This window comes from Homo sapiens, chromosome 5, assembly GCF_000001405.40.
Source record: "Homo sapiens chromosome 5, GRCh38.p14 Primary Assembly".
Lineage (NCBI taxonomy): Eukaryota > Metazoa > Chordata > Mammalia > Primates > Hominidae > Homo > Homo sapiens.
The window spans coordinates 100,803,311-100,830,077 of record NC_000005.10 but is presented as its reverse complement, the minus strand read 5'-3'; the positions used below and the strand labels follow the sequence as shown (position 1 = coordinate 100,830,077).

Here is a 26,767-nt window from a genome sequence, read left to right as displayed (position 1 = left end):
CCAAAGATTGCAAAAATAACATGAGTATACTCTTAAAAATGAAACATAAATAATAAATAAAGACTTATCTCTTTATGTTGTTTAATTATGCTTTGGAAAGATCATTTTTCCTTACAGAAGAATATGTTGCTAGATAGAAGTGTTGTAGTAATTCTTTTTTTTTTTTTTTTGAGACGGAGTCTCGCTCTGTCGCCCAGGTTGGAGTGCAGTGGCGCGATCTCGGCTCACTGCAAGCTCCGCCTCCCGGGTTCACGCCATTCTCCTGCCTCAGCCTCCCGAGTAGCTGGGACTGCAGGCGCCCACCACCACGTCCGGCTAATTTTTGTATTTTTAGTAGAGACGGGGTTTCACCGTGTTAGCCAGGATGGTCTCGATCTCCTGACCTCGTGATCCACCCGCTTCGGCCTCCCAAAGTGCTGGGATTACAGGTGTGAGCCATCGCGCCCGGCCGACATGTAGTAATTCTAAAGGATCTGAATGTGTTCGAGAATTTTAGAGGTTATACACAACAAGTACTTTATTATGTCTACTGTAACTTATGACTTTCCTTTCCCCTATTATAGATATATCACTGTCAATATCCTATTGTTTCAATCTTTATTACTCTAAAATAGAATTCAGGCAAAGGAAAAAAGTTCAAGTAAATGAAAAGATTTATCAAAGCATTTAGGTAATAGTTGGGAGGAGTGAAGGGAAAAAATAGATCAAATAATATATAGGTGCTTGTATTTGAAAAAGGTTTGAGTTTAAATTTCTAATCCATGAGAGACCAAAAGACAAAGAATCTTTTGTGATCAAACCGATAGATAACTATTTGGAGGGGAGAGAGAGACAGTGCTGGGGAAGACTGCATAGCTCACACCGCTTTGTAGGGGCTCACTGGGTACTGTTCGCTGGGATTCTCTTGGCAATTAGCCCAAGAGAGCAGAGCATGGCAGTGAGGTGAGAGCAAGCGTGAATACACACTGATGCTCCTATGCGCAGAATATTCGCAGTTTATAGGTAAAGATATGTGACTTGCGAATATTCCTACACCTACAAATGACTATTCCCACACTGTTTTTATAGGTCACTGGGCTGTGTTTTGAGCTCAAATATTGCCTGCATCAGAATTCGTCGTTATTTCATAGTGAGTCATTTGACAAGTCTTTGTTCTTTTCCTGGCTGCAATAATTAAGCTAATGAAAATTCTTCTCAGTCTCAGACCTGCTGAGAAAATTTCCCAGGAATATGGGCCTTTGAAAAAAAACGGAACTCTTCCCTTGCTTACTTAAAAATAGTATTAAAAAATAGTAGTTTACCTCTTTTGACTTGAACCAATGCTTGTTCAAGACTAAGGATCTTCCACATCCCACACAGTCTTCTGATCCTCTTCTAGAATTCTAAGCCCTTTCTACCTAAATTTTCTAGAGGCAAAGTGCAGGTTTAGGCAAGGGAAATAGCCCTAGAGATGTCTATGGGGTCCCATGAGTGAGGAAATCCAGGGCAAAATCAACTTTTGGCCTGAGAGGAGCCTTTTAGCAAAGACGTGATTAGAAATCTTAAATCCAACCTATGTTTCTGTCTAACAGAAAAGCTTTTGATCCATAATGAGCCACTTTGAGGGATTTTCAAAGAGGTATTGCTTTTTGAGGTCTCAGAGAAGGAAAAGTGGAGCTTGGAGCCTGCAAAAAGCACACTGACCCTAAGGAGTACCGGAAAGTTGCTTTCTCAGGGAGCTATGAGTGAATGTTTTGGAAAGCTGCTTGCCTGGCACAAAAGAGGAACTCTGAAAGGCTGACAAAAATGTTCCTTATTTCAGCACGTATCAATTTATTACTCATCAGCTCATTAGGGTTTTACACGGTAGTTGGTTTATGCAGGCCCCAGTGTGTAATGAACCCGAGAAGTGAAAACTCCCCCAGAACCCCAGGCTCTCCCAGGACAGGTAATTTACTTTCCAGTGAATGGTAGTGGACTCATGTTTTTGTAGTTGCAATCGCAGGTTTGCTCTGATTAGTGAGATGTCCCAGAACTGTAAATTAGAGTGTTTTATTTTTGCTTCAGTATATACATTCTGTATATGCATAGCTAAGTGGATATAGAAATAGATTTCAGTTTGAAATTTGAATTACTTAACCAGTGTTTATCAACAGTGTACAGTACTGATGTTGCACATGGCATCAGGGCAAAGTGCTACAATAAAACATAGGAAATCTGTGATCTTAAAATGCACTTTGCCCTGTTCTTGTAGAGCCGTAGATTGTTGCTGTGAATGTCAGTGCTATTTAGGGAGGAACTAGAGTGACAAAGATACATCCTGGATTTCTTAGAGTTGCCTATGACCACACGTGCAGTTTGTCTCTGAAGCCAGGGAGTGCCTGATTAAATACAGGACCCACCCACTGTGAGAAAACACTCTGGCATCCCAGCTGCCATTCAGAATGTAAAATCCAGGATATGACCTGTCAAGATGAGCACTTCAGCATATTGTGGCAATGCAGCTGTCACTGAGATACATAAGTCTCCAGAGAAAAGCATTCAAACTGTTTCCATGGTGGAATGAATACAAATGCACAGCAGCTCTAGTCATATTTGAATGTGAGTTTTTTCAGCAGGATGGTCCATATTAAATATGCAGATGTGTGCAAGTGACCCCAGTACCTCTTCTCATCTCTGATTGCTGAGCATTTTCTGAAGGCATAATTTTCTTAGTTTTCATGTGAGAGGGGCAGGGAACATTTGTAAGCCATACAGAGTTAAGATATCCAGTTGTCCTTTTTCCTTAATGAAGACAAAATTGTTATAGATTATCCATGACACATCTGAAAAAGAGATGTTTTCACAACGTAGATTTAAGTTATTTTATATTTATTTCTTGATATTGAACTTATTCTCTTCAACACTCTGACAAATGTATAGTGCTAGCAACATATTTATAATAGAACTTCAAAACTTCTGACTTGTACCATTAGTGTCAGGAGAAGCCCAGTGAATATAATTAGTGATTTTATAAGTGTTTTTCTAATAAGGAATTAACGTGTATCACCCTACAAGTGTGCCCAAATAAGTGGTAACAAAAACTTGGGGAGGAAATTTCCTTCCTATGGGATGTGTGTGTGTGTGTGTGTGTGTGTATATACACACACATATATCTGAATAGAAAACTGAATATATATATTTACATATGTGTTATATACATTTACAGATAGGATTCGATGTATTAATGTATTATATATAATTGTTTATGTAAATATAATATACAACATATAACTATACATGTTATATAACTATTCTGAATAGGACACTCATATAGATATTTACTTTATTAATTAGAATGAAATGATATATTACCTAATGATACCCTGTAACAATTTGTTTCACTTGTTTTTCTCAGAAACTCTTGATTTTAATAATTCATTAATTTAACAAGTATATTCAGGCTTGTTATGTGAAAATGTTAAGTATATAAGTGTTTCCAGTTTGTTCACGTATAAATTTAGAACTTGCATATCCCCAAATACCTGAAAGCCATAACTGAACTACAGGATAACCTTCAGACCTTCACACTTGTCACTTCTTCATTGCACTGTGATTTTTGTTTTCGTATTTTTTTTTGGCCCCAAGTACCTATCATATTCCCCAGATGGCTTAGCCATCATCACTGGCAGATTATGAATAATGTTTTACATTGAACAGATGTAAGCAATTTGTAATTTTTCCCCTTTCTGAACCAGCTTTGTTTTGATGAATCAACTGGAAATTGAAACTTAAGTAGAACTTCTGTTTGAAAAGGAGCAATGTTTTCCCACATTGGCATATGTAGTCAGCTCTTAAATATAGAGAAGAAACAACGAATAGGGGAACTGGCCAGGGTGTGTGGCAAGAAATACTGGAAGATCATTATTTAGCATTGCCATATAGTTCCAATTTCTTTATTCTATAGAACCACATAATAATAAAAAAAAATTAAGTTGCTCCAAACCAACCAAAAGTTCATCAGGTTGCCTGTGTTTCTATCCAGTAAGAACATTCTTCAAAAGAACTAGAATTCTGGAAATACAGTAAGAGCTGGTGAAATGTTAAAAGAGAAAGAAATGAGCTATCCCCTTGACAAGGATGTGTTTGCTCTGCTGAATTGTATTTTATGTAATTATATAAATTATAATTGTATTTTTTGACCCTAATATAGGCAAGTCAAATTAAGCATTACTGACAATTTGGTGTTAGGATAAGCTCTCTACAAGCTACAAATTAGGTGAATAATCTCTCTACAAGCTACAGGTTAGGTAAATAATGACAAAAATATCTACCTAAGACAGACCTTAATTATATGGCTAGAAAAGGTACATTTATTTATATATCGATAGCCTATTCATAAATAATATATATTTTCCTTACAATAGCCAGTGGCCAGACCTAAAACGCCACTTAATGTCCAGAGTTCAGTTATGGTCCTGCACTTTCAGAGCCTGTTTCTGACCTGATAATTCTTGCAGTGGAAAGAGCAATCAAACTGAGTATCCTTCGCTTTCTTTAAAGTCTATGAGAACAATCTAATTGGCAGTTGGTCTGGAATAAATCTTAATTATTGAACACTTGCAAATTTGAAAACTTCATATGCTACAGACAGAATTTGATAACAAAAATGTCAACTATCCTAGGCAGACACTAATGCACTTCTTATTTCTGTGCTCATTACTTAATTTCAACATCACTGATATAGGAAGTTTAATGTTAATATATAAAATATAATTCAGTAGAATCATAGACCATCCTCAAAGTTTCTTTAACCCTTGCTTCCAAAAAATAAATAATTAAATAAATAAATAAATACACATGAAATCTCATGTCTATCTTTAGCAATATTTAGAATTGCAAAATAAATTAAATAATATGATTTGAACCCAATCAAAACAACTGTATTTATTATACTTCTTCTACTTATATCCCACTCTAGGAATCTGTATGTTTCTCTGACAGTGAATAATCATTGGTTCTAACAATCTGGTAAAATCTCTTATTTTTATTACTTTTTTAGAGATAGTCTCATACTGTCACCCAGGCTGGAGTGCAGTGGCATGATAATAGCTCACTGTAACCCCAAACTCCTGGGCTCAAGTTATCCTCCCACCTCTGCCTCTCCAATAACTAAGACTACAGGTGTATGCCACTACTGCTGGCTATTTTTTTTTTTTTTTTGTCAAGACAGGGTCTTGCTATGTTGCCCAGGCTGGTCTCACACCTTTGGCCTCCAGGACCCTCCCACCTCAACCTCCCAAAGTGATGGGATTGCAGGCATGAGCCACTGTGCCTGACCTAAGGATCTTATTAACTAAATCTTTTGTGTAGGCAGCCATTGGAGGAACTCATTAGGTGTATTTTCTTATTTGATTAAGGAACTGAATGGGATGGCTTACCTTGCCCCCCTCCACCTTTTTTTTCAGATGCTATAATTTAAAATTCCTTAGAGATATATAACAGAGTTCCTTAGTTCCTGAGTTTGCTTTGATACACAATTGTTAGACCAAAAATAAAAAGCCTTTTTTTTTCATGAATGTTCAAAATGTAGGATCCTCTGGATATCCCTTAAAGAGTTCCCATAAATTTTATGGATTCATAGCCTTCTTCCAAAGAAAGAATTAAGATAGCAACTGAGCTATTTCAGTTGTCTTTTAGTTAAGTAACCCCATTAGAGATACAATGTGAGGTTTCTTAATATTTTAAACTTAATATTTCCCCAATATTTTAATGCAGTTTATACTCTAGCACTCTATAGTTTCTTTTTGAACCTCTATATACCCTAGATTCTTCTCTTGCCTTCTGCACTCTACAGGTATTACATGCATTTTAGCAGTTTATACATGAAATTTGAGTCATCATACAAAACAATATTACATGAATGTACTAAAATAGAAACAGATGGTCAATAATACTGTACATTTCTTCGTAAACCAACTCCCACAGATTGCCTTTCTTCAGATTTTTTGCCCAAGTAGAACCAATCATCAAACAAGTGATTAGAGAGGCTTTATTATGGAAATATTCCTCTTGAACAATAACAACAACAAAAAGCCATTTCAATCACATTTCCATTTTAAAGAAAGTTATATTTCACCCTCTTTAAGTTTATTGTTATAAAGTCTGAGTTAATTATCTCTATCAACTTATATTCTTATTCAAACTGTCAGTAAAAAAGTTTGTGACTCTCATTCTTGAATTTCTATTACACCAGTTCGATAGAAAGAAAACAAATTGTATGGAATAAATGTTTGTCTTAGGCAGTGCCTCTAAATTTAAGTGAATTTCATGATTGCTATATTGAGTTGAATTGTATAGTCCACATTCCAGATTGACACCACATGATCAGTTTTCACTGCTTTCTAAAATGTATCAAGTCCAAAAAAAGTAACTATTGGAGTTTTTTGTTTCTTCATTTGTTTTGTTTTACCGGATAATTTTAAATTCCTGGTTGTATAATTCAGGCACTAGTTCGTTAAATTATAAACAAAGATAAGAGTTAAATGAAACTGAACTTAAATTTGTTGGTTGAGTTGAGTGTTATATGAGCAGGTATTACTGGAAAGGAGACCCCATCTAGACCCCAAGAGTGGGTTCTTGGATCTCACGTAAGAAAGAATTCACGGCAAGTCCGTAAAGGGAAAGAAAGTTTATTAAGAAAGTAAAGGAATATAAGAATGGCTACTTCATAGACAGAGCAGCCCCAAGGGCTGCTGGTTGCCCTTTTTTATGTTTATTTCTTGATTATATGTTAAACAAGGGGTGGATTATTCATACCTTCCCTTTTTAGACCATACAGGGTAACTTCCTGACATCACCATGGCATTTGTAAACTGCCATGGCCCTTGTGGGAGTGTAGCAGTGAGAATGACCAGAGGTCACTCTCATCACCGTCTTGGTTTTGGTGGGGTTTTTTTGTTTGTTTGTTTGTTTGTTTGTTTGTTTATGAGACGGAGTCTCACTCTGTCTCCCAGGCTGGAGTGCAGTGGCGCCATCTCAGCTCAGTGCAACCTCTGCCTCCCGGGTTCACACCATTCTCCCCCCTCAGCCCCCCGAGTAGCTGGGACTACAGGCGCCCGCCACCACGCCCGGCTACTTTTTTGTATTTTTAGTAGAGACGGGGTTTCACCGTGTTAGCCAGGATGATCTCAATCTCCTGACCTCGTGATCCGCCCGCCTCGGTCTCCCAAAGTGCTGGGATTACAGGTTTTGGTGAGTTTCGCCTGGTTTCTTTATTGCAAACGGTTTTATCAGCAAGGTCTTTATGATCTGTGTCTTGTGTTGACATTCTGTCTCATCCTGTGACTTAGAATGCCTAATCGTCTGGAATGTAGCCCAGCAGGTCTCAGTCTTATTTTACCCAGCGCCTATTCAAGATGGAGTTGCTCTGTTTCAAATGCCTCTGACACATGTACATAGGTATTGTGACCTGATTTTGTTAATGTGATTTCTTCGACATAATATATTAAATTTCATTTACATATTGATTCGTAATTTACAGTGAACTATTATTTGTACGTTATCATTCAATTCTTTTAGCATTCCTAAAGGGAAAATGTTTTTACCCAAATTTAGAGATCAGGAATCTGAAACACAGACATTGCAAGGACTAGCCAAGGCTTAGAGCTTACACTCTGAGGGCTGACTCCATTCTAAGTCCTAGGATTTTTCACTGTACCGAAGTTGTTCAATAGGAACATTAACATTATTTTAGAAACTTTCTCTATATTAATGTTCTTGATTCGGCAACCATTTTATAAATGCAGTTTATAAATTAAGTGATTCTGCCTAAAATGTGTTGAAGGTATCACCGTTGATTCAAACAAAAAGTAAAGGGAGGAAAATTAGCGATGGTTTGAATAGACTGAAATTTCACCAAATAGAGATTGACATGTGGAGGGAAAAAACAATCCAGGTATTTATTAATATTTGACTAATGAAAAATATTTCATAGCGTCTTATAGCCCTTTAAAGTTTCAGGGCTAAAAGTTGAAAGTTTTTCTCTAATTTTGTGGAGCAGAATTAAAACAGTGGCTTTGTAATATAATTCAAAACCCAAAGCCTGCCACCTTGTCATTGTCTTAACATTATCCTTCATGGAGGTTTTCCTCAGCTGGGAAGTTCCCTTTCTTATATGCTCATGGAAAGCCCTTGTCTGAGTGTTCAATTTATGCCAGGGACAAGGCAATTGTCTAAATGGGCAGTTCCTACAGTATCTGCCCTTTATGGCAGGAATAAAAATAGAGAATAAAGATTTATATTTGACTAACCCCCAAATGCTATTAGTTTGATACTTGCTGGGAATGCTTTTAGGAACCACTTAGAATTTGCTTATGGCTATCTTAATTCTATTCATTTGCTGGGATTTGAGAACTCTGATCCTTGACTGATGTTTAGTTAGTGTACTTTGATAGCAAGAATGTTACATTATTCAATGGAATATAGATCACATTTGTTGTTCCTTACTTTTCTTGAAATTGATTTTAGCACAACTATCTGGGAGGTTAATGTAACCTGATTTATTGATGTAAACTGAGCATATCCATTTGTAAAGAGTCCAGATCAAGCTAAAATAAGATCATCAGACCATTAGAAGAGTTGTTTATATTTTATTGTCATAGTAAAATTAACTTTTATTGGGAAACTAACCTCATATAGGCTGGGGAGTATGAAAGTATATTCTCTAAGTGCCTCCTTGGACTCCTTGTTAATGTAAATAAAAAATTTGCATGGATAAACACCTAGATCATTATCGTCTTCCCTATCTAACCCATTTTTACTGAGCGTTAGGATTACCTACACCACTACCACCCCTTGTATTTTAATGCTTTTTTTTTCTTTGTAGGACTCCATGTCCTCTGATAAATGATTGCACTGTTTCCTTTCAATCTTAGTAAGAAAAATGTAGTTTCCATGGTTTTTGATTTTCAAAAAGTAATCTGATCTCATAAGAGCACTTAAATGTTAACCTAATTTAACTCCTTCATCATGCTTCAGAAGACCATCCCTTTCTATTTTTCTAGTATTTCACTTTTTGTATGTCACCACTTCTTCATTCTGCAAGTTTAGATTACGAGTTTCAGTTTTTTCTCAGAAGGATTAAACGTGAAGGTCATTAAAATAGTAATGGATTAAAAGAAAAGGCCATTAACATCTGTGGTTTGACATCTGTTTCATATTTTACTCTACCTCCAATTTGCCAGCTCAAGATTTTAAGCATTCTCTTTGACAACTCCCAAAAGATATTTTACTAAATGCAGTTATAATCCATCTATTATATGATGCTTATTTTTAAAATTCTTCTTCACCAAAATCTAGCCCACATACGATTATTTAAATCACTCATGTAGTTTGGGAGTCATCTATTTTAGTTCCATTCAACAATCTGACATGGTAAATAAAGTCTAGAGTATTCTCTCTGGTTATTTTTGTTTAATTTTTCTCAGTTTTCAGCAAGATTCCATTTTCCTGTGACTTCATTCTCTTACATTAGCTTTAGCTTTGAAATTGTAAGGGGTCATTTTATGACTTTCAGATTATCAAGCATTATCAAAACATCATGTTTTATATAATAAATATATACAATTTTATATGTCAATTAAAATGAATAAGTAAATTTGAAAAAATACATTAATTATGAATTTGTTAGGAGAAAAGATTATATGACCCCTAGTTACAAGTGTTACAGGAAAGTGGAAATTATATTGTAAGTTTTTCAGTAGGGATGATCTTACCAAATAGCTCTATAATGCGATTGAAGAGAAATGCTGCATGTTATGTCAGATAAAGTAGGGGTAGTTAGTATCTGCCAGCAAGATGTAAAGATTAGACTACTGCTATAGTTGGATGAACTCCCGTGTTCCTTATTGTGAATTCATACTGCTTTTGACCATATAGAAGTGAATGTTTTAGACATAGTGAAACCATATTAAGATCCTCATTTTGTTGGTGGGTAAACTGGGTCCTAATATGTTTAAATGGTTTGACCAAGATCACATCATTAACAAAGGTAAATCAAGGCTGGGCTTCAGTTTTTCCAATACTTTCCCACTATTGAATATTGTAACTCAGGGATTAGCAAGTCATGAGAATGCTCTGTTTTATTAACACTACAAATCTCTAAAATACCAGCAAGAATAAATTAAATAAGCATGCATTAAGTACCTACTGTGTATCCAGCATTGTGTTGAATATGAGTTAAAAATAAAACCATCATTTATCTCTTCTGTTTCTATTTTTATTAGATAATGTTAAACATTTATATTAATATGTAATGAAGCTATCTTTACAAAGACAGCTTCCTTACTCCACTTTCTCTCTTTATAAATGGTTTACTCCATTTTCTCTCTTCACAAATGGAATAAACAACTAATACCTGGAAATGTTTCTAAGTAATTTTTTAAATTGATTTTCTTGATCAAAACTCATGAAGCTACAGGCCAGGAGGAATATTTTCTGTCTCTTCTGCGTCTGAAGAATACTGGAGCTTGCTTGTACTGGCTGGCAAGATCTCATTGCACCATCTCTTCCCAATTCAGTGTTCACTGATGTCAGGTTGGTAGCTTGAAATCAGCCATGATGGTAATATTTACCTTTTTTTGAGTGTTCAATTTATGCCAGGGACAAGGCAATTGTCTAAATGGGTAGTTCCTACAGTATCTGCCCTTTATGGCAGGAATAAAAATAGAGAATAAAGATTTATATTTGACTAACCTTCCCAAATGCTATTAGTATGATACTTGCTGGGAATGCTTTTAGGAACCACTTAGAATTTCCACAGAAATTGACAAATGCTAATATATCATTGAACTGTCTCCCGACACCCAGTGTCTGCTTTAAACATTCACCAACGTACCAATGTACAGCTTGTTGGCTGAGTAAAACTGGATAAGCTATTTTACTTCTTGAGCCACAACTGCATCCTCTATGAAGTAGGGATGATAATATATTCTATTGTGTATATTATAATATTTTATGAGGATCATGTGAAAGTGGTTTGAAACTATATGGAGTAAAATTATTAATATCACAATAATGAGAGTTACGTATTCACTAAATATGAGACAGTTGGCAAAATCAACATAATATATGTAGATCTAGAATTTCTTAACATTGTATCCATACTTGATGTGACAATGTGCATAGACAGATAAAAAGAAGAGGGGTGAAATTCAGAGCTAACAGCAAAGCCTTATTTCTCTGATAGACGTCAGATAACATACATCGGTACTGAATAGAATTTAGTGATCATTGAGCATAAAGTAGTATCTCCATTCCTTTCTTCATGCCATGAGTCCTTTATGCCTCTGATGAATTAAGCTTATAAAGTTTGATAAAGTATTGTCTGTATGTATACTATGAAGAGCTTCTGTAGAAAAGATTTTCTACTTTCTTTTTCTCAGCTACTTGACACAGACCTCTGAATACAAAGGGCACATAGAAAAAAAAATTAACAATTGACCTCTTAAAGTTACAGACTTCTGCTTTCATTTTAATGATACTTCAAAATACCTTCAGAGGCATCATGCAATTCTGCATGGAAATTCATACCCTTTGGTACAATGTCATTGCCTTTGTCATTTGCAATGTGGTTAAGTAAAATATATAGTGAAAGTACAAAATTGTCTTCTGACTTCAAGCACTTTTGAGAGTGTACATGAGAAAAGTGGGTCCTTTATACTAGTCCTCTCTTATTTACCTTTGAAAAAAATTCCCAAAAAGCTTCACACATAGAAAAAAAACCACTATTGATACTGGCCTGTTAATCACCATAACACCATACAGATCATTATTTATTTTTTCCACCTATTAACTCCATGTTGGAAATGATCCTAAGGACTTGCTATTCCAAGCTGAATGTTCTTAAGTAGCTAAAGAATACAATTTTTTAAAGTTAAAATTAAAATAGTTATAGCCAGATATATGTGAGCTTAAATCTTGGTCCTGTCACCTACAATTTCTGTGACCTTCAACTGATTATTTATCCTTTCTTTCCCATCACCACCAAGCCTCAGTGTCCTCAGCTATGACATAACATCTACTCACAGGTTTTTGGTGAGGATTAAATGAAAAAGCACCACATATAGAGCTCTTTACACTGTCTCTGGCCCATTATATACTCTCAATAAATTATTCTTATTGCTACCTCTTAGTAATCGCTTATCTTTTTATCCCTAGGTTTACTCTTAGCTTGCCAAATCATGTTAAATATGTCTGTCTGTCCCTTTATTTACACACATTAGAAGAAGATTTAAGATCTATCACTTATTGTCTGTCTGGCATACTATAAGGATTACTTCATGGCAGAGTGAATTATTCTCAGCAAGTTCAGTGCTGGAAGTTCCACTTTTATTTAAGAAATTTACTATCATCCCTGCTTTATCTGACAAACACAAGCCATCTCATAATCTTAAAAGGTATCATGAACTGTACCAAAATAATTTCAAAACAGAATTAACTTGTTTGTGCTTTATGTAATATACTGCAGACTAGAATACAATGAAAGGACTATTTTAACAGTAGGGAAGAAAACAGCAGATATTCTATTTCAATATGTCCACGGATGACTGCTTTAAGTTTCATGTTATGTAGCTGACACACATATACTCCTCATAAGAATGAATGGACATATTGACAAATGTGAATGATGGAATCTCAAAAAACATACATTTATTTATTGCTCCATACTGTGATTTTTGATGGGAAAAATAAGGTCATCATAAATGGTCTCTATTAGGTTTCTGGGGTGACTCTAGAGTTGAGAATGTGCAGATATGTCCTGCAAAGATTACTAATAGAAAGCCAATTATCTGGCTGGGCACGGTGGCTCATGCCTGTAATCCTAGCACTTTGGGATGCAGAGGCAGGTGGATCACGAGATCAGGAGTTTGAGACCAGCCTGGCCAACATGGTGAAACCCAGTCTCTACCAAAAATACAAAAAAAAAAAAAAAAAAAAAAAAAAAAAAATTAGCTGGGTGTTGTAGTGGGCGCCTGTAATCCCAGCTACTTGGGAGGCTTAAGCAGGAGAATAGTTTCAACCCGGGAGGCAGAGATTGCAGTGAGCCAAGATTGCGCCATTGCACTCCAGCCTGGGTGACACAGCGACAGAGTGAGACTCTGTCTCAAAAAAAAAAAAAGAAAAAAAGCCAATTATTTTATAATATCTCAAATTACTGCAGACTGGAAGAACCAAAAGACATTTTTTTAACCCTTGACATAGACTTCCAGTGGAATGCAGCACAAATCTCAGTTACTGGAAGACAAATATGAGAGGAGAAATAGAGGAGACTCCTTAATTAAGAATACAAAGGTATATTTTGTTATACACTTCATCTCACATTCCAGATAGAAGAATTTCTGGGCTCATTAATGGAAACTTTGCTTATAATATAACATTAAATTACAACTGTTGGCACAGTGAGATTCCATCCTTGATATTCAAATTCTTCTAGAAATTGTCACATTTGATTTTTGGAAGAAGAATAACATTTTAAGAGAAAAAACTATCATTATTAGGTTGGTATAAAATTAATTGCAGTTTTTGTCATTACTTTCAATAGCAAAAACTGCAGTTACTTTTGCACCAATGTAATACTTCTAAACTTTTAGACTTCTTTATTTAAATATAAACACAAACCAATATTCCTTGTTTGTCAATATATTGAATGTGAGCTCTCCTTAGTATCAACGTTGTTAAATATAACATTTTTGTTCCTAAAACTGTGGTTGCTTGAAATAATCAGGTATTTTGACTCATCGGGTGATTATTATCTGCTTTTATTATGAGATAAAATCTAAAATATTACAGGATTTAAAATCAATAAGCATTTATTAGGTACCTTCTTTTCTTTGCAATGTGTTACAACCTGAAGGAAGGAAAGGGAACAAAATGGTGAGGAGGAAGGAGACAAGGAATAAGAGTGTTTCACACAATTTCACGGAGAGAGAAGATTTGAAACTGCAATTGAATTTTATAGAGGAAACCCCAAAGCCATAGAATTAAATGTTTGTTTCAGAATTAAGGAAACATGTCCATTGAGGTTAAACGACGTTACCACAATTGTCCAGCCAATAAGTAGTCACAGAAGGTTCCAAGAGAGAAGTGGGTTTGTGAGTGGGACTGAAGAATGATTGTTTTGGGATATGTTGAGAGCCAAGTAGTATTGCTTATTATATGTCAAGCTTTATGTTCTTTTACCTTTACTGTCTCTTTTACAGCATTACAACCTTTCTTGTTAAATATTGTTAACTGGGCTCCAAAGAAGTGAAGCAGCTTTCTCAAGTACTTATAAACATATCACAGATACAAAGCTGTGTCTTCTGACTATAAATATAGCCTTCTATAGCACACTGATTTGGTGGGTAGAGACATTCCAAATTTTCAGTTTGTTTGAAGTAAGAAATTGAACTAATATTTTGGAGCAAGAGTATATAAGACACCTCACTTAGCCAAAACAGAGCTTTCATGCTCTGTTTTGTATGTGAGAGAGTAGTGAGATCTACAGAGGCTATCAAATTTATTAAAAAGTTATAAATGTTCTATTAACACATAAAGTCCAGAGTGAATGTTTCATACAACAGAAGAAAGTATAATAATAAAACAAAAGGGAAGGAAAGAAGGAAGAAAGGAGGGAAGGAAGGAAGGAAGGAAGGAAGAAAGGAAGGATGAAAGGAAATTAATAATATTAAAAATAAAACATAACCTCTCTGATGAAAAATAATTTGTATATGTCTATATGTGAATGTAACATATATTAAGATCCAAATCAGCCAGAGAAGCAAAAGGATGTTGCATGTTATAGCAGTAATTATCCTTATGTGGATGGATTATAGGTAATGTTTTTCTTAGATTTTTTTTCCTTCAAATTTTCTACAAGGAGCTTACATGGATTTGGTAACTCAAAAAAATCAATTTACATAGAAAGAAATACATGTATATAAACTAAATTATTGTTTGAATGTAAAATTTTGCTAAATTTTAAACCATAACATGTACAGTTGGGATAAAAGCTGGAACATGTTATACTGAAACAGTGTGAATATTCCATTATTTTATCAATGCATTATTTTCAATTTAATATTTTTCCTAATGAGGATGAAACACAAGTTAATATTCTATTTTTGATAGACTCCATAAAAATTTGCAGTTTTCAAATATCAAATTGTGTATAGGTAGATACATTCAGGTATGGATTTCAAAATTGTAGTCTGGGCTCTAGCTTTTGATGCTGATAAATATTATCTAACCAATTATGCTGACAGAATTAAAAAGAAGATCTATTCTTGTCCTTTTCACATGTGGAATTTGTTACTGGTTTAATACCGAATTGCAATAATTTAGATTGGCCTATACAATTTCAAACACAACATTAGGTTGATAATAAACACAAAATACAGTCTTATTGACTGTATTTGATCAGTTCTGTGTTTTTAAATTTTTAGAAAGTTATTACTTATTGCCTACTTAGTGACCTGATTTAAGGTATTTTTCAACTTATCTGTTACATATTGATGCCATTTATTAAGGTGTATCTTTCTGTGACACTTTTTAGAAATCAATAGGATAAGTGGCATTTATTTTGTGTTGTTTCTTCAAAAATGTCCTGAAATATTGACGGTATATTTTTCTTTGAAATTATTCAAACTGTTGCAAATCAAATATCACAAAATTTATTTTTCTGTTAGCATTTCTAAAGCTAAATTAATTCAGTATTTTAACTGCATAGATTAATTTATTTAGAACAAGACCACAAAAAGTTTTTAAAGTCACTCTACTCATTATTTTCAAATAAGATGCTTTGCAATCACAGTTTCATTTTCAAGACACTTCAGTGATATTCTATTTGTGGTGTCTCATAAGATGTCCTGTATCAAAAAATTTGGAGTGATTTCACGTCTCTGACACCATTTTAAAGCCAATAATTTTGCTTTCAGCATTTCTAACGTTGTAGTTACTTATTTGTATTGCATGTAGAAATTGCTTTGGTATTTGTCAATGAGCAACCATAGTTACATGAACCTCGAGGAAACCTCTCCAGAATTAGGAAATGGAAAGCATTTGTTGATAGTAAGAAGTCTGGAGTTTCATACAAGTAATATAGCAGCATTTTTCTCACTTTAGAAATAATTCAGCATGACCTTCATACTGCCAAATTGTTCCTAATCATTGACTTTGCCTAATGGAAATACTGTTTTCTTTTTGACTGATTTTGAATTTGCTTGGCTTACTTTAAAAATTTATAAATAGATAGTTTTTTTTTAACTAACCAACTCTATCACCTAACCTCTGCAACCATACATATTCACAATACTTTCACATAAATCACATTCACAATACTTTCTTATAATCATTATTTCATGTTAAAAAACACTTGTTTTCTCAGAGCCCAGAGAGCTTCAGGCCACATCATAGTTTCTTCAAAGCCTTCAAAGAAGTTTGACTATGCTCCTTGCATAGAATCACTGTCTATGTTTTCTTCATTGTGTTTATAGTGTATGAGTTATGGTTTTGCTCATTCAGTTACTTTGAGTTATGAGAAAATTCCTAGATGTTCTTCTCTGAAAATTTCTTATAAAATCGTCTTTACTGAGAACAGATGTTCTCAAAACAATTGTGATAATAAAGAGTTCATAACACATTTCATACAGCTCAAAATATTTAGCCCATGGCCTTCACTAAATGAGAAAAAATAGAATATGTGTGAGGCCAATCCTGATTCAGAGAAGGGAGAAAATGAAAGACAAAATATAGAATTATGATGGCCAGGTATATTTTCCCTGTTTTGGATGTTTCCAGTGAAGTTTGAAAGTATAAATTTATTTAAGGAAATGAAGTAACATATCACTTTAAGTTTTTTTCATACTCAGTACTCTAGATGTATTTTATCTCCCCTGGAAAGTTTTATAAAAGTTTTAGAGAAAAAGAAAATAATATGCGAAATCTAAAGCAAGCTTATTAAATACAGCAACAAACAGGATCTAACATAATATTCCCCTTACGTTTGGATGGCAGAGCACATATCTCTCCAAATAGAAGACGATAGAAAAACAAAATAATTTTTAAACTTATTAAGTTTTTGTGTTTATCATTGGACAACTTTGAAAGTAAGAGAAAAATCCACACTCTTTCAGCTGTTTTCAAAAAAGGTCATTGTCCTTAAGGAAATGAATATGCCAAGAAATATTGGAAGTCTCCTTCCTTCCAGAGATGTGAGTTTGCGTGCTTTTCACACCAATGTTTGACAGCAGTGATGGATTTAAACATTTTGAAGGACTTTATTGCCTATAAAGTACTTATCAGCATTGAAATATATTTTATCTATCTAACAAAATGTTAAATTGCATAACTGGAAAACTATCAATTATTCTACAACTTTTTTTTATTGTTGTTCTTATGTGAGTGGAAGTGAGGCTTCTAATTTGCTTTAGTAAATTGTGACTTGGAAAATTGGAGCTGAATAAATCAGTTGATATAACATAGATAAAGCATTTATTTCTTTGGATTTTTAATTGCAATATCTTACATTTTGAAAATCTATAGGCATAGTTTCAAACTTTTTTTTCTGGGAGGATTACTTAATCTCTACCCAATTACCATGACTTCTGCAGTTGTATTTAATCCTTTTTGAGAAAATTTTACTCTGCATGTTATATAAATGTTTGCTATTATTCATTTCAAAGGTGAGATTCTAGAGTAATATTCACCTACATTCCAGGTCCCTTGGGTATTTATATGACCTCAAGAATAAGAAAGAAAATAAAGGATAAAGAAGAAATAAAATAAAAGCATCAAATTTTCTAAATGCTTAAAAATATTTCTTCAGTAATTCTTTAAAATATTATTCATAAAGATACCTTTTAAGTTTTCTGCATTATATACTTGCTATAGGATATGCTCTATGTGTGTCTAAATTCTTCTCTTCTTGATTTTGTTTTTTGTTTTTCCAGTTACTGGCTGACCAACAAAGTTCCTATCAAAAGACCCAGCACAGGTCTTCTCATGTATACACTTGCCACAAGATTCTGTGATGAAATTCACCTGTATGGATTCTGGCCCTTCCCTAAGGATTTAAATGGAAAAGCGGTCAAATATCATTATTATGATGACTTAAAATATAGGTACTTTTCCAATGCAAGCCCTCACAGAATGCCATTAGAATTCAAAACATTAAATGTGCTACATAATAGAGGAGCTCTAAAACTGACAACAGGAAAGTGTGTAAAGCAATAAAGCACATTTTGAAACAAACAATATGCACTTCTTTTCTGAAGATGCTTCCGAAGATTTGAAAATAGGATCCAAAACACGGCTGGGTTTCAGCATCCACCAATGAACTGAAAGGTGAATAAAGGACGTTCATGAGAAATCGACTACCAGCTGATGAAATACCTGCAAAGTGCTCTAAAAATTAAATATTTTGACTTTAAGGGTCCTAGTAAGTGCCACTTCCACTAAGAATACAGTTTGAATGTATAATCAGTAGTGTTTACAAGATCCAACAGTGCACTCATCATTAGTTAACAAAGCAAATATGTTCATCACTGTCAGGCTGCCCACAGCAACACCAAGCATATTAGAAGAGGAACCCCAGGAACGCAACTCAGACCTTGGGAAATTAAACCATCCTTGTCAGCAGAAGCCAAGATGGAAGCAGTTTGAGCAATGAAATCCGTAAGATTAAACAACTCAAGTAAATGCTTCAGTCAGGACTCTGAGTCTGATCATGAATTTTATGTTTTAATTTATGTTTTTTTTTTGTCTTCTGGAATCTCTTTTGGTTTGGATATTGGGATGCTTAGAAATCCTTTCTGAGATGCATATGAGTGAGGAAATAAACTTTAAGTAATTATTTTTAAAGTTCTTATACTTTTTAAAAGCTATCACACAAAGACTTTTTTTTTTTTTTTTGTCTCGCTCTGTTGCCCAGGCTGGAGTACAGTGGCGCGATCTCAGCTCACTGCAAGCTCCGCCTCCCAAGTTCACTCCATTCTCCTGCCTCAGCCTCCGGAGTAGCTGGGACTGCAGGCGCCTGCCACCACGCCTGGCTAATTTTTTGTATTTTTAGTGGAGACGGATTTTCACCGTGTTAGCCAGGATGGTCTCAATCTCCTGACCTCGTGATCCACCCGCCTTGGCCTCCCAAAGTGCTGGGATTACAGGCGTGAGCCACCGTGCCTGGCCGACATTTTTAAAAAAGTTTTATTTTGCACGGCTCTAAACCTCCATGTTATTTTCCAGTGGTGTAGAAGGTACCAGCTAAAGTGAACCACTATGTAATATTAGGCCATTCTAAAGGAAAGATGTTCCATGTCATCAGAGATGGTAAAATAGGCCGGGAAAAAAAAATCTTTGGTACCAAAGATTACACTTGTGTTTCTACACAGCAAACCATTTTTCTTTCATGAAAATAATATATTATTAACATGAATATATTATTTTGCTATTAATGTGAAAGTTGTCTCTAAATATTTTTTAATTTTCAAACTCATACTTTATTTTCATTTGAAATGTTTTTCACACCTTTTGCATTACATAATAATTTTGTGGAAGCATTTTGCCCTTTAGAATAAATATTAGATTGATATAGCTGAAATGTGACTTCCAGTTCTTTGATATTCCCCTTGTTATTCAAATAGAAATATGGAAATGCTTTATATATTACTGTTAAATTTCTTAGTGCAGAAATAACATTATTAATAGAGTATTGTTTTCAAAACAGAGATGATTAATTTCAAGAGGTTTAACAGTGAAATTGTGTCAATATTTTGCATTTAAAATGAATTTAATTGACCGATATTTTCTGTAGTTAAATTTAGTCACAATATCACATATGTTCTTCAAGAAACACATGAAATTATTAATAAAGTAATTAAAAAATTTTTAATGTATAACAGAATTGACCAATAGGCCAGTTTTCTGGTAACTTATGATAGTAGATTGTTTCTTTAGAAACTGGGCAGAAGCTCTGCATTCTCACTTGTACTTTGATTTCTTATTTCTTGGGCAGGCAATTTGAGGAAAGAAGAAATGGCATGGGGAATATATATGTTTTGTTTCTTAGGGAAAACAGTCTGAGAAATGAATAAAAAGCATGAAGTACGTGTGTGTGTGTGTGTGTTACCATGGAAAAGGATATTCACAGTAGTACAGTTCTCAATATTTTTAATTAGATGTCATATTTTTTTAATATAGTAAAACCTTGGGATATAGAATATTACATCTTTTGAGAATGTATGTGTCTCTAAGTAAGTAAAATCTAATGCGTATAGGAGACTGATAGCTAAAAATGAATGGAACATTAATGTACTTTTATAATTAAACCTCTTATCTATCAGAAATTGTAAGAGAATAGATACATGTTTTGAATGTAAAGTTGAAAAGTCTGGTTTACTTAATAAATTGAAAGTGATTTATAAAATCTAAATTTGGACTACTTGCAAATGATAAGCTATTCTAGTAGCCTTTAGTTTAAATCCAACAGAAATCTAGAAGTCACAAGCAAATATCTTAAAGGTAAAATCCATCTGGGCACTCATTTAAAGTATATCTTAAAAAAGCAGCAGCAAGGTACCTTGCCATTTTTAGCATATTTTCTTCCTTTTTCTTTTTTCTTTTTTTTTTTTTTTTGAGATGGAGTCTCACTCTGTCACACAGGCTGGAATGCAGTGATGCCATCTCAGCTCACTGCAACCTCCACCTCCTGGGTTCAAGTGATTCTCGTGCCTCAGCCTCCCAAGTAGCTGGGGTTACAGGCGCCCACCACCACACTCGGCTAATTTTGTGTTTTTAGTAGAGACAAAGTTTCACCATGTTGGCCAGGCTGGTCTTGAACTTCCTGACCTCAGGTTATCCACCCACCTCAGCCTCCCAAAGTGCTGGGATTACAGGTGTGAGCCACCGCAGCCGGACCATTTTTAGTATATTTTCAGTAAATACATTTAAACAATGTTAAGGCCACAGCACACATATCTCAGCCATTCATTGTTCTGTGCATTGATGTTTATCTCATAGATGCATTGAGTAGTGCCTTTTTAGCTTTTTCACATTACTTTGTCACCATATCCTTTGTGTTCTCTAAATACATTGCCCACTTCCAAAAATGTTCAGCATGAAAAAAAGGGCTTCAGTGTCGATTGAGATTGCTTTTGTTCATCTCAGGGATTTCAATAGTCAAGAATGAATTCAGTTAAAGGTATTTAGGGTTCAAAGAAGACAAACTGTACAAGCCCATTTCATTCCTTGTTGTATACCTTTCCATCTGCCCTCCCATTTTAACTATCTACTGTGGCCTTTTTATGGAAACAGAGCAAGATCAATGAAGGCTAATGGCAAGAATAAGAAAAAGAGTTGAGATTTAACCAATAGCGGAGCATAAAGGATCATGACAAAATCAAATTATAAAAGCATACTTGAAATAGGTGGAGCTTTTTCTTTTGAAAATATATATTCACAATTTTAATATTTTAATTTATTTTTTACTATTTAACCCTGTACTTGGCAATGCTCAGGCAGCTGATTGTGAAATATTCTTGTCCTTTACAGAACATGGTTGTTATTGTGCTGTTGACATGAATAGACCATGGAAACATTTTCATCATTATTATTCAGCCTGTGCTGTAGTTAATGTTAAGTTGCTGAAATAAAAAGTGAGCAAGTAATAGATTTTCTTGGCAAATCTAATGATTCAGCCCACAGGACTGTTGAAACTACTGCGGAAGTTTTTCTATCTGAAAGAAGGTGCTGGGCATTCAAATGTGTTCATGTATTGTATATCATATGAATTGTATATCAATTACTAATGGGAATTTCTACATATATGCTTACAAAAGCAATTTATTTAAGTAATGCTAGGGGTAGTGTACATACCAATTAGTTATTCAGCTACTATACAGAAAAAGGATGAACAAATTAATTTATTTCTAATTGAGCCAGTTAGACATAATGCATATAACGTGATATTTGGTTCATGAAAGAGTTGTTTTCATGTGGTTATTGTAGGGAGTATATATAATTGTGGAAGGGGTATGGGAAGAGTTGTGTATAGTTAGTTGTTATCTCTACAAGTTTGAAAGTTTTCCCATCAAACATTATCAATATACCAATGTTTTAAAAATTGAGTGAGGGTTATTATTTGTATTTGATGAAAGAAAATCCAAATAAAGCCCACCTAGAAATAGATATTTTATTATATATGTGCTATAGATATACCTATATAGTACAAATAGACATGTGTGATGCATATATACAATGTTATATATGTGTATATGTCTGTATACACACTGAGTCTGTAATATGTATACACTAAATTTGTGTTATGCTAACATCTTCAGGGTCTGCACTGTGAACTCCCCTGGAGATAAGTAAGTCCACTTTAGAATAAAGAAGTTCTTTTGAGACTTCAGTTACTAACGTGCTTTAAGAGGTATCTACTTTATAACTGAATTCTATGTCGTTCATACGTAGAGTTACAGTAAGGGTCTAGTATGTCCAAATCTTAATAATAAAGAAGAAAAGTAAAGGCTTCAAGCTAGCAATGTATTCGAATTACAGTTTTCAGATTGTGGCTCCAGGCCTTGTGTTTCTCATTTAAGTAGCACCTTTTAATAAAAACCGTTTCTTTGTGTAGGCAAAAGCACAAGTGTTTCAAATGTAAATAGCAGGAAAAAAAAAGAGTTTACAGAGATAGCATTGCTGCACAGAATAATTGCTACTGAGTATTTCTTATAGAATTTGTGGAACTGAAAGATGAGGTTTATTCTGTCAAGTTCAAGTTCATTCTGTTCAACACTGTTTTCTTATTGTTTGTGTATAGCAACCGGGTATTATTGTTTTATCATTTGTAAAATTGTAAAATAAATTAATCCCTTTTTTTCACTGTTTCTCTTATCTCATATATCCAAGCCCTTGGTTATACTTTGTATGTCAATGTTAGGTGATCATTTTTAACAAGCTTTGGCTTGTGCTTTGCTTTTCCACTCCCCTTAGCCCTAGTGGTTGGCAATTAGGCAAACCATTTATTTTTAAGTGTATACATGGGAATATGAACAATGTCAAAAACCCCATGAATATTAGGAAATCCTTAACGATATTTTGTGTAGCACATTCTGTTTGCGGTTGAGGGAATAAAGTATTTCACAAGTGACAGTCATTTATATCCATTTTATACTCCCACTGACTAATGTTAGTGGGTTGTTTTAGCTACAATGACTTCATACACACTGCACATTCTATGGCAGATTTTTGATTTAGTATTTTGACTGCTATTTGATCCACTTAATACTGTTTGTGATTTGCCTTCCAGAGATGATTCTGAAAAACTACACGCTTAAATCTTCTTCCATGGCTTTCTATAACTTGCAAGTCTGTTTTCAGACTCTGTATTGATTTCTGCAGAAATGTTTAACTGTAGCATTCTGCAATTTTGAAACATTTACTGGAGACCACCAATGAAGCACTGACAATAACTAATACATATAGATGTTATTTATATTTGCATAATTACCTTTTTTTCAAAGATTCATATACAACAGGTTATTCTTAGCTACTTTGGGGGGTATAATCAGATCTCATCATGTGGAACTCCATTTTTGATGTTATGGAAGAGCTTTCAGGATTGTAATACGAGTTTTGATGCCTGAAGCAATTTTTTAAAAGGCAGTATTTACAAATAATTTATTCCTACTGTCAAATATTATTTTAAATGCTTATTATTTAAAAATAGGTTTAGGTATGGTTTTGCCTGAAATGGTGGATAGATTTGCTATAATCCTTCTCTTTACTCTTATTATTTTATATTACAGCCCAGTCCTTTTCAAAATGTATTCTGGGAAACATTGCTGTTCAACATGCTCTGCAAAGGAATGATATGTTCTAACATAATTCCACAATGGTCTCAGGAATTAATAAGAGGTGGTAGCATATTACAAACCGAGAAGTCTCCAAATAAAGAAAATGAATTAAATTTTCCTAACCAAGAATGTCAAAATGTATCAAATTTTTGCATATTTAATACTTATTTTAAGAAATTCCAAAATACACTATTTTTTACAAACATTTTCCCAGAATTAAAAACTGGGCATACATTTTTATTTGCCTTATAATTAATTATCTATAATGTTCTACACAATTTATGATATACAGATTGCCTTATTCACACCTTTCCTTATATTATATGCTACAATTTAAAATACAAGTGTCAAGATGAACATTTTGATTACATACGGCCTTTCCATATGGTTTATTAAAATGTACATTCCTCTAAGTTTTTGAACAAGCTTTATTAGCTATTGATTACTGAATCAAATCAATCCAATTCACCAGGGCCTATAATGTTAGTGTGAAATGGATTGAATATGCACTCATAGTAACCCAAAAATGTATCAGCCTTTTGAATCTCCCCTTTCATATGTTATCAAGACTTAAATTGTCCTTACTGTGGGCCAAACATAGTTTTCAATACTTTATGTGTATTAACTGATTTAATCCTAATAACAAGTCTATGAAATGGATTCTGCAAATATTATAATTTCATAGATAAGATTAAGGGAGAGGTCGTGTGATGTGCTCAAGATTACACAGCTCAAAAATGAGAGAACAAGGACTTGAAACCACTGACTTCAATGTCCACCTCCCTAGCCATCACATTTTGATGCTGCCTTTTCTTAGCTGCCAAGAAGTTCTTTGGGAAACAGTTTGCAAAATAGATGACCATTTAATGAGTACAGATCAAAAATATAGGTAAGTATATAGAAATAATATATAATTTAGACTTGGGGAAGGTCTAATTACTGATTCCTGCCCCCAAATAGGACAATCATTTCCAATAATAAGAATATCTTGATTTCCAGGTCAGTGTCTTTTCCCTGGATGGTGCTGGATAAAAACTGCAAATTCTTGCTTCTGACTCTTGTTTTATTTTTTACATGCAAGCTGGATTACCTTTATGTTCAAATCTGACTTTATGTATCCCAGAATTTATTACATTACAGTTATTTTAAAGTCTAAATATGAACTTCCTATGTAAACATTTTGATTGAATTTAAATGTTTTATTCATCTCCATTAGCAACTGTTTACAGAAATCTCTTAAAGTTGAACTTCTGCAGATAGCTAAACTCACCTATTTGATATTGTTTTTGTTTTGTTTTGTTTGGTTACTAATTTATCTCTCCTCCTGGGGATAGGAGTAACTTAATCTCCAAATTAAGGTGGCAGCTCAATTACTTGCTTTATAAACTAGCTTCATTGTGCATGATCCCATGAGAAGAAAAAAAATAATATCAGATATAAGAATAAAACTAGCAGCCGGGCACGGTGGCTCATGCCTGTAATCCCAGCACTTTGGGAGGCCGAGGAGGGCTAATCACAAAGTCAGGAGATTGAGACCATCCTGGCTAACACGGTGAAACCCCGTCTCTACTAAAAAATACAAAAAAAAAAAAAAATAGCCGGGCATGGTGGCGGGTGCCTGTAGTCCCAGTTACTCGGGAGGCTGAGGCAGGAGAATGGCGTGAACCCAGGAGGTGGAGCTTGCAGTGAGCCGAGATCGCGCCACCGCACTCCAGCCTGGGCAACAGAGTGAGACTCCATCTCAAAAAACAAACAAACAAACAAAAAGAATAAAACTAGTTTAACCCATTTTTAACAGATGAAATATTTCAGTCACTTAGTTGTTTATTTCAATAAAGAAAATATGTAAAAAATGAATGCCAATATGAAAATACCTCTTTATTTATTTACTTTTTGCTTCCAGATTGCTGATTTCAGATTCAATTACCAAAGTAGAATTACTCAAGTAAACACAAAAGAATTCTAGTACAGAATGTGTTCCACAAAAATATGTTCAGTAAAAGACAACTCCATAGATTCCCTACTTGGAGATTGAGAAAATAAATTAACATCATAAAAGTGCTGAGAACGTGCAATATAGAAATTCTATTGTTTTAAAAGCCATATATCCTTTTATAAGTACTTCTATTGGCTATGAAATTATTTTCTGAAGAACATACTTTGGATAACACTTCTGAATGTAACAAATGGTAACAAATGTAATAAACAATACAAGAAGAGAGAACAAACAAGAGTTTCACATGTAAAACCTCATACTTATTCAGTGTTTTCCCACCTACTACATATTTTTAATATTTTCAAATATGAAAAAGTTTAAATTGATATACTTATTTATTCTCTAAACATTTCTTAAATTATTTTTCACAGAAATTATTACTCTCTTTTCTAAAATATTGATCACACACCTACATGATTACATTCCTAAGAGCAGTCGGACAAGTAAAAGCTGTTGCTCATTCTAGGCCATACGTACAAATCAGTTAACTTTCAGGCCTTTTTTTAGCATAGGAAGAAACAAAGTGCTATGAGGCACTAATTTGCATTTTCTAGAACAAGTCAGGATATTATAGTAAGCTCATTCTCTGCTGTCTGTCCAGCCCAGCTTCCTTGGCTCCAGCCTCTGGGAACCACACAGATGGGCTGACTATGAGCACATCTGCCAATGCTGCCAAAATGTAAACACACTCAGCTGGCAGCAGATGTTTTCCAGGAAAGATCACTACCACTGGAGTTGTTCTGCTTTGGATTCTGTTAGCTGATCTTTATGGATGGATATAAGGCTATTCTGTTCAAATAGATCATTTGTCTCCCAGGTATAGAGCAATAACACAGTAGATTAAGGCTCAACTGTTTTATATTTACCATGTTCATATATGTAGAAATGTTGTTAAAGTCTTCCTAATGGGTCAAGATTTTTC

The 26,767-nt window shown here is 34.2% G+C and overlaps 1 protein-coding gene and 1 non-coding gene across 3 annotated transcripts in view, besides 1 other annotated feature; both read left to right on the top strand.

The window, feature by feature from the left end:
• ST8SIA4 (ST8 alpha-N-acetyl-neuraminide alpha-2,8-sialyltransferase 4) overlaps positions 1–23,145 on the top strand; it is a 96,350-nt gene extending 73,205 nt beyond the window's left edge. For both annotated transcript variants that reach the window (XM_011543630.3, NM_005668.6), the window contains one exon: positions 17,949–23,145. In XM_011543630.3, the coding sequence (XP_011541932.1) occupies positions 17,949–18,231 (283 nt within the window). In that variant the 3' untranslated portion in view covers positions 18,232–23,145. The remainder of the gene's footprint in view (positions 1–17,948) is intronic.
• Positions 2,455–2,504: an enhancer, noted in NCBI's record as "active region_22845". NCBI's record gives its function as "activates an Ori minimal core promoter by ATAC-STARR-seq in GM12878 lymphoblastoid cells {active_cell/tissue: GM12878}" and the evidence as "EXISTENCE:reporter gene assay evidence [ECO:0000049][PMID:35858748]".
• MIR548P (microRNA 548p) lies at positions 13,513–13,596 on the top strand. The gene has a single exon (NR_031686.1). It is a non-coding gene; the product is annotated as a microRNA 548p (primary transcript).
• Positions 23,146–26,767: the final 3,622 nt, after the last annotated feature.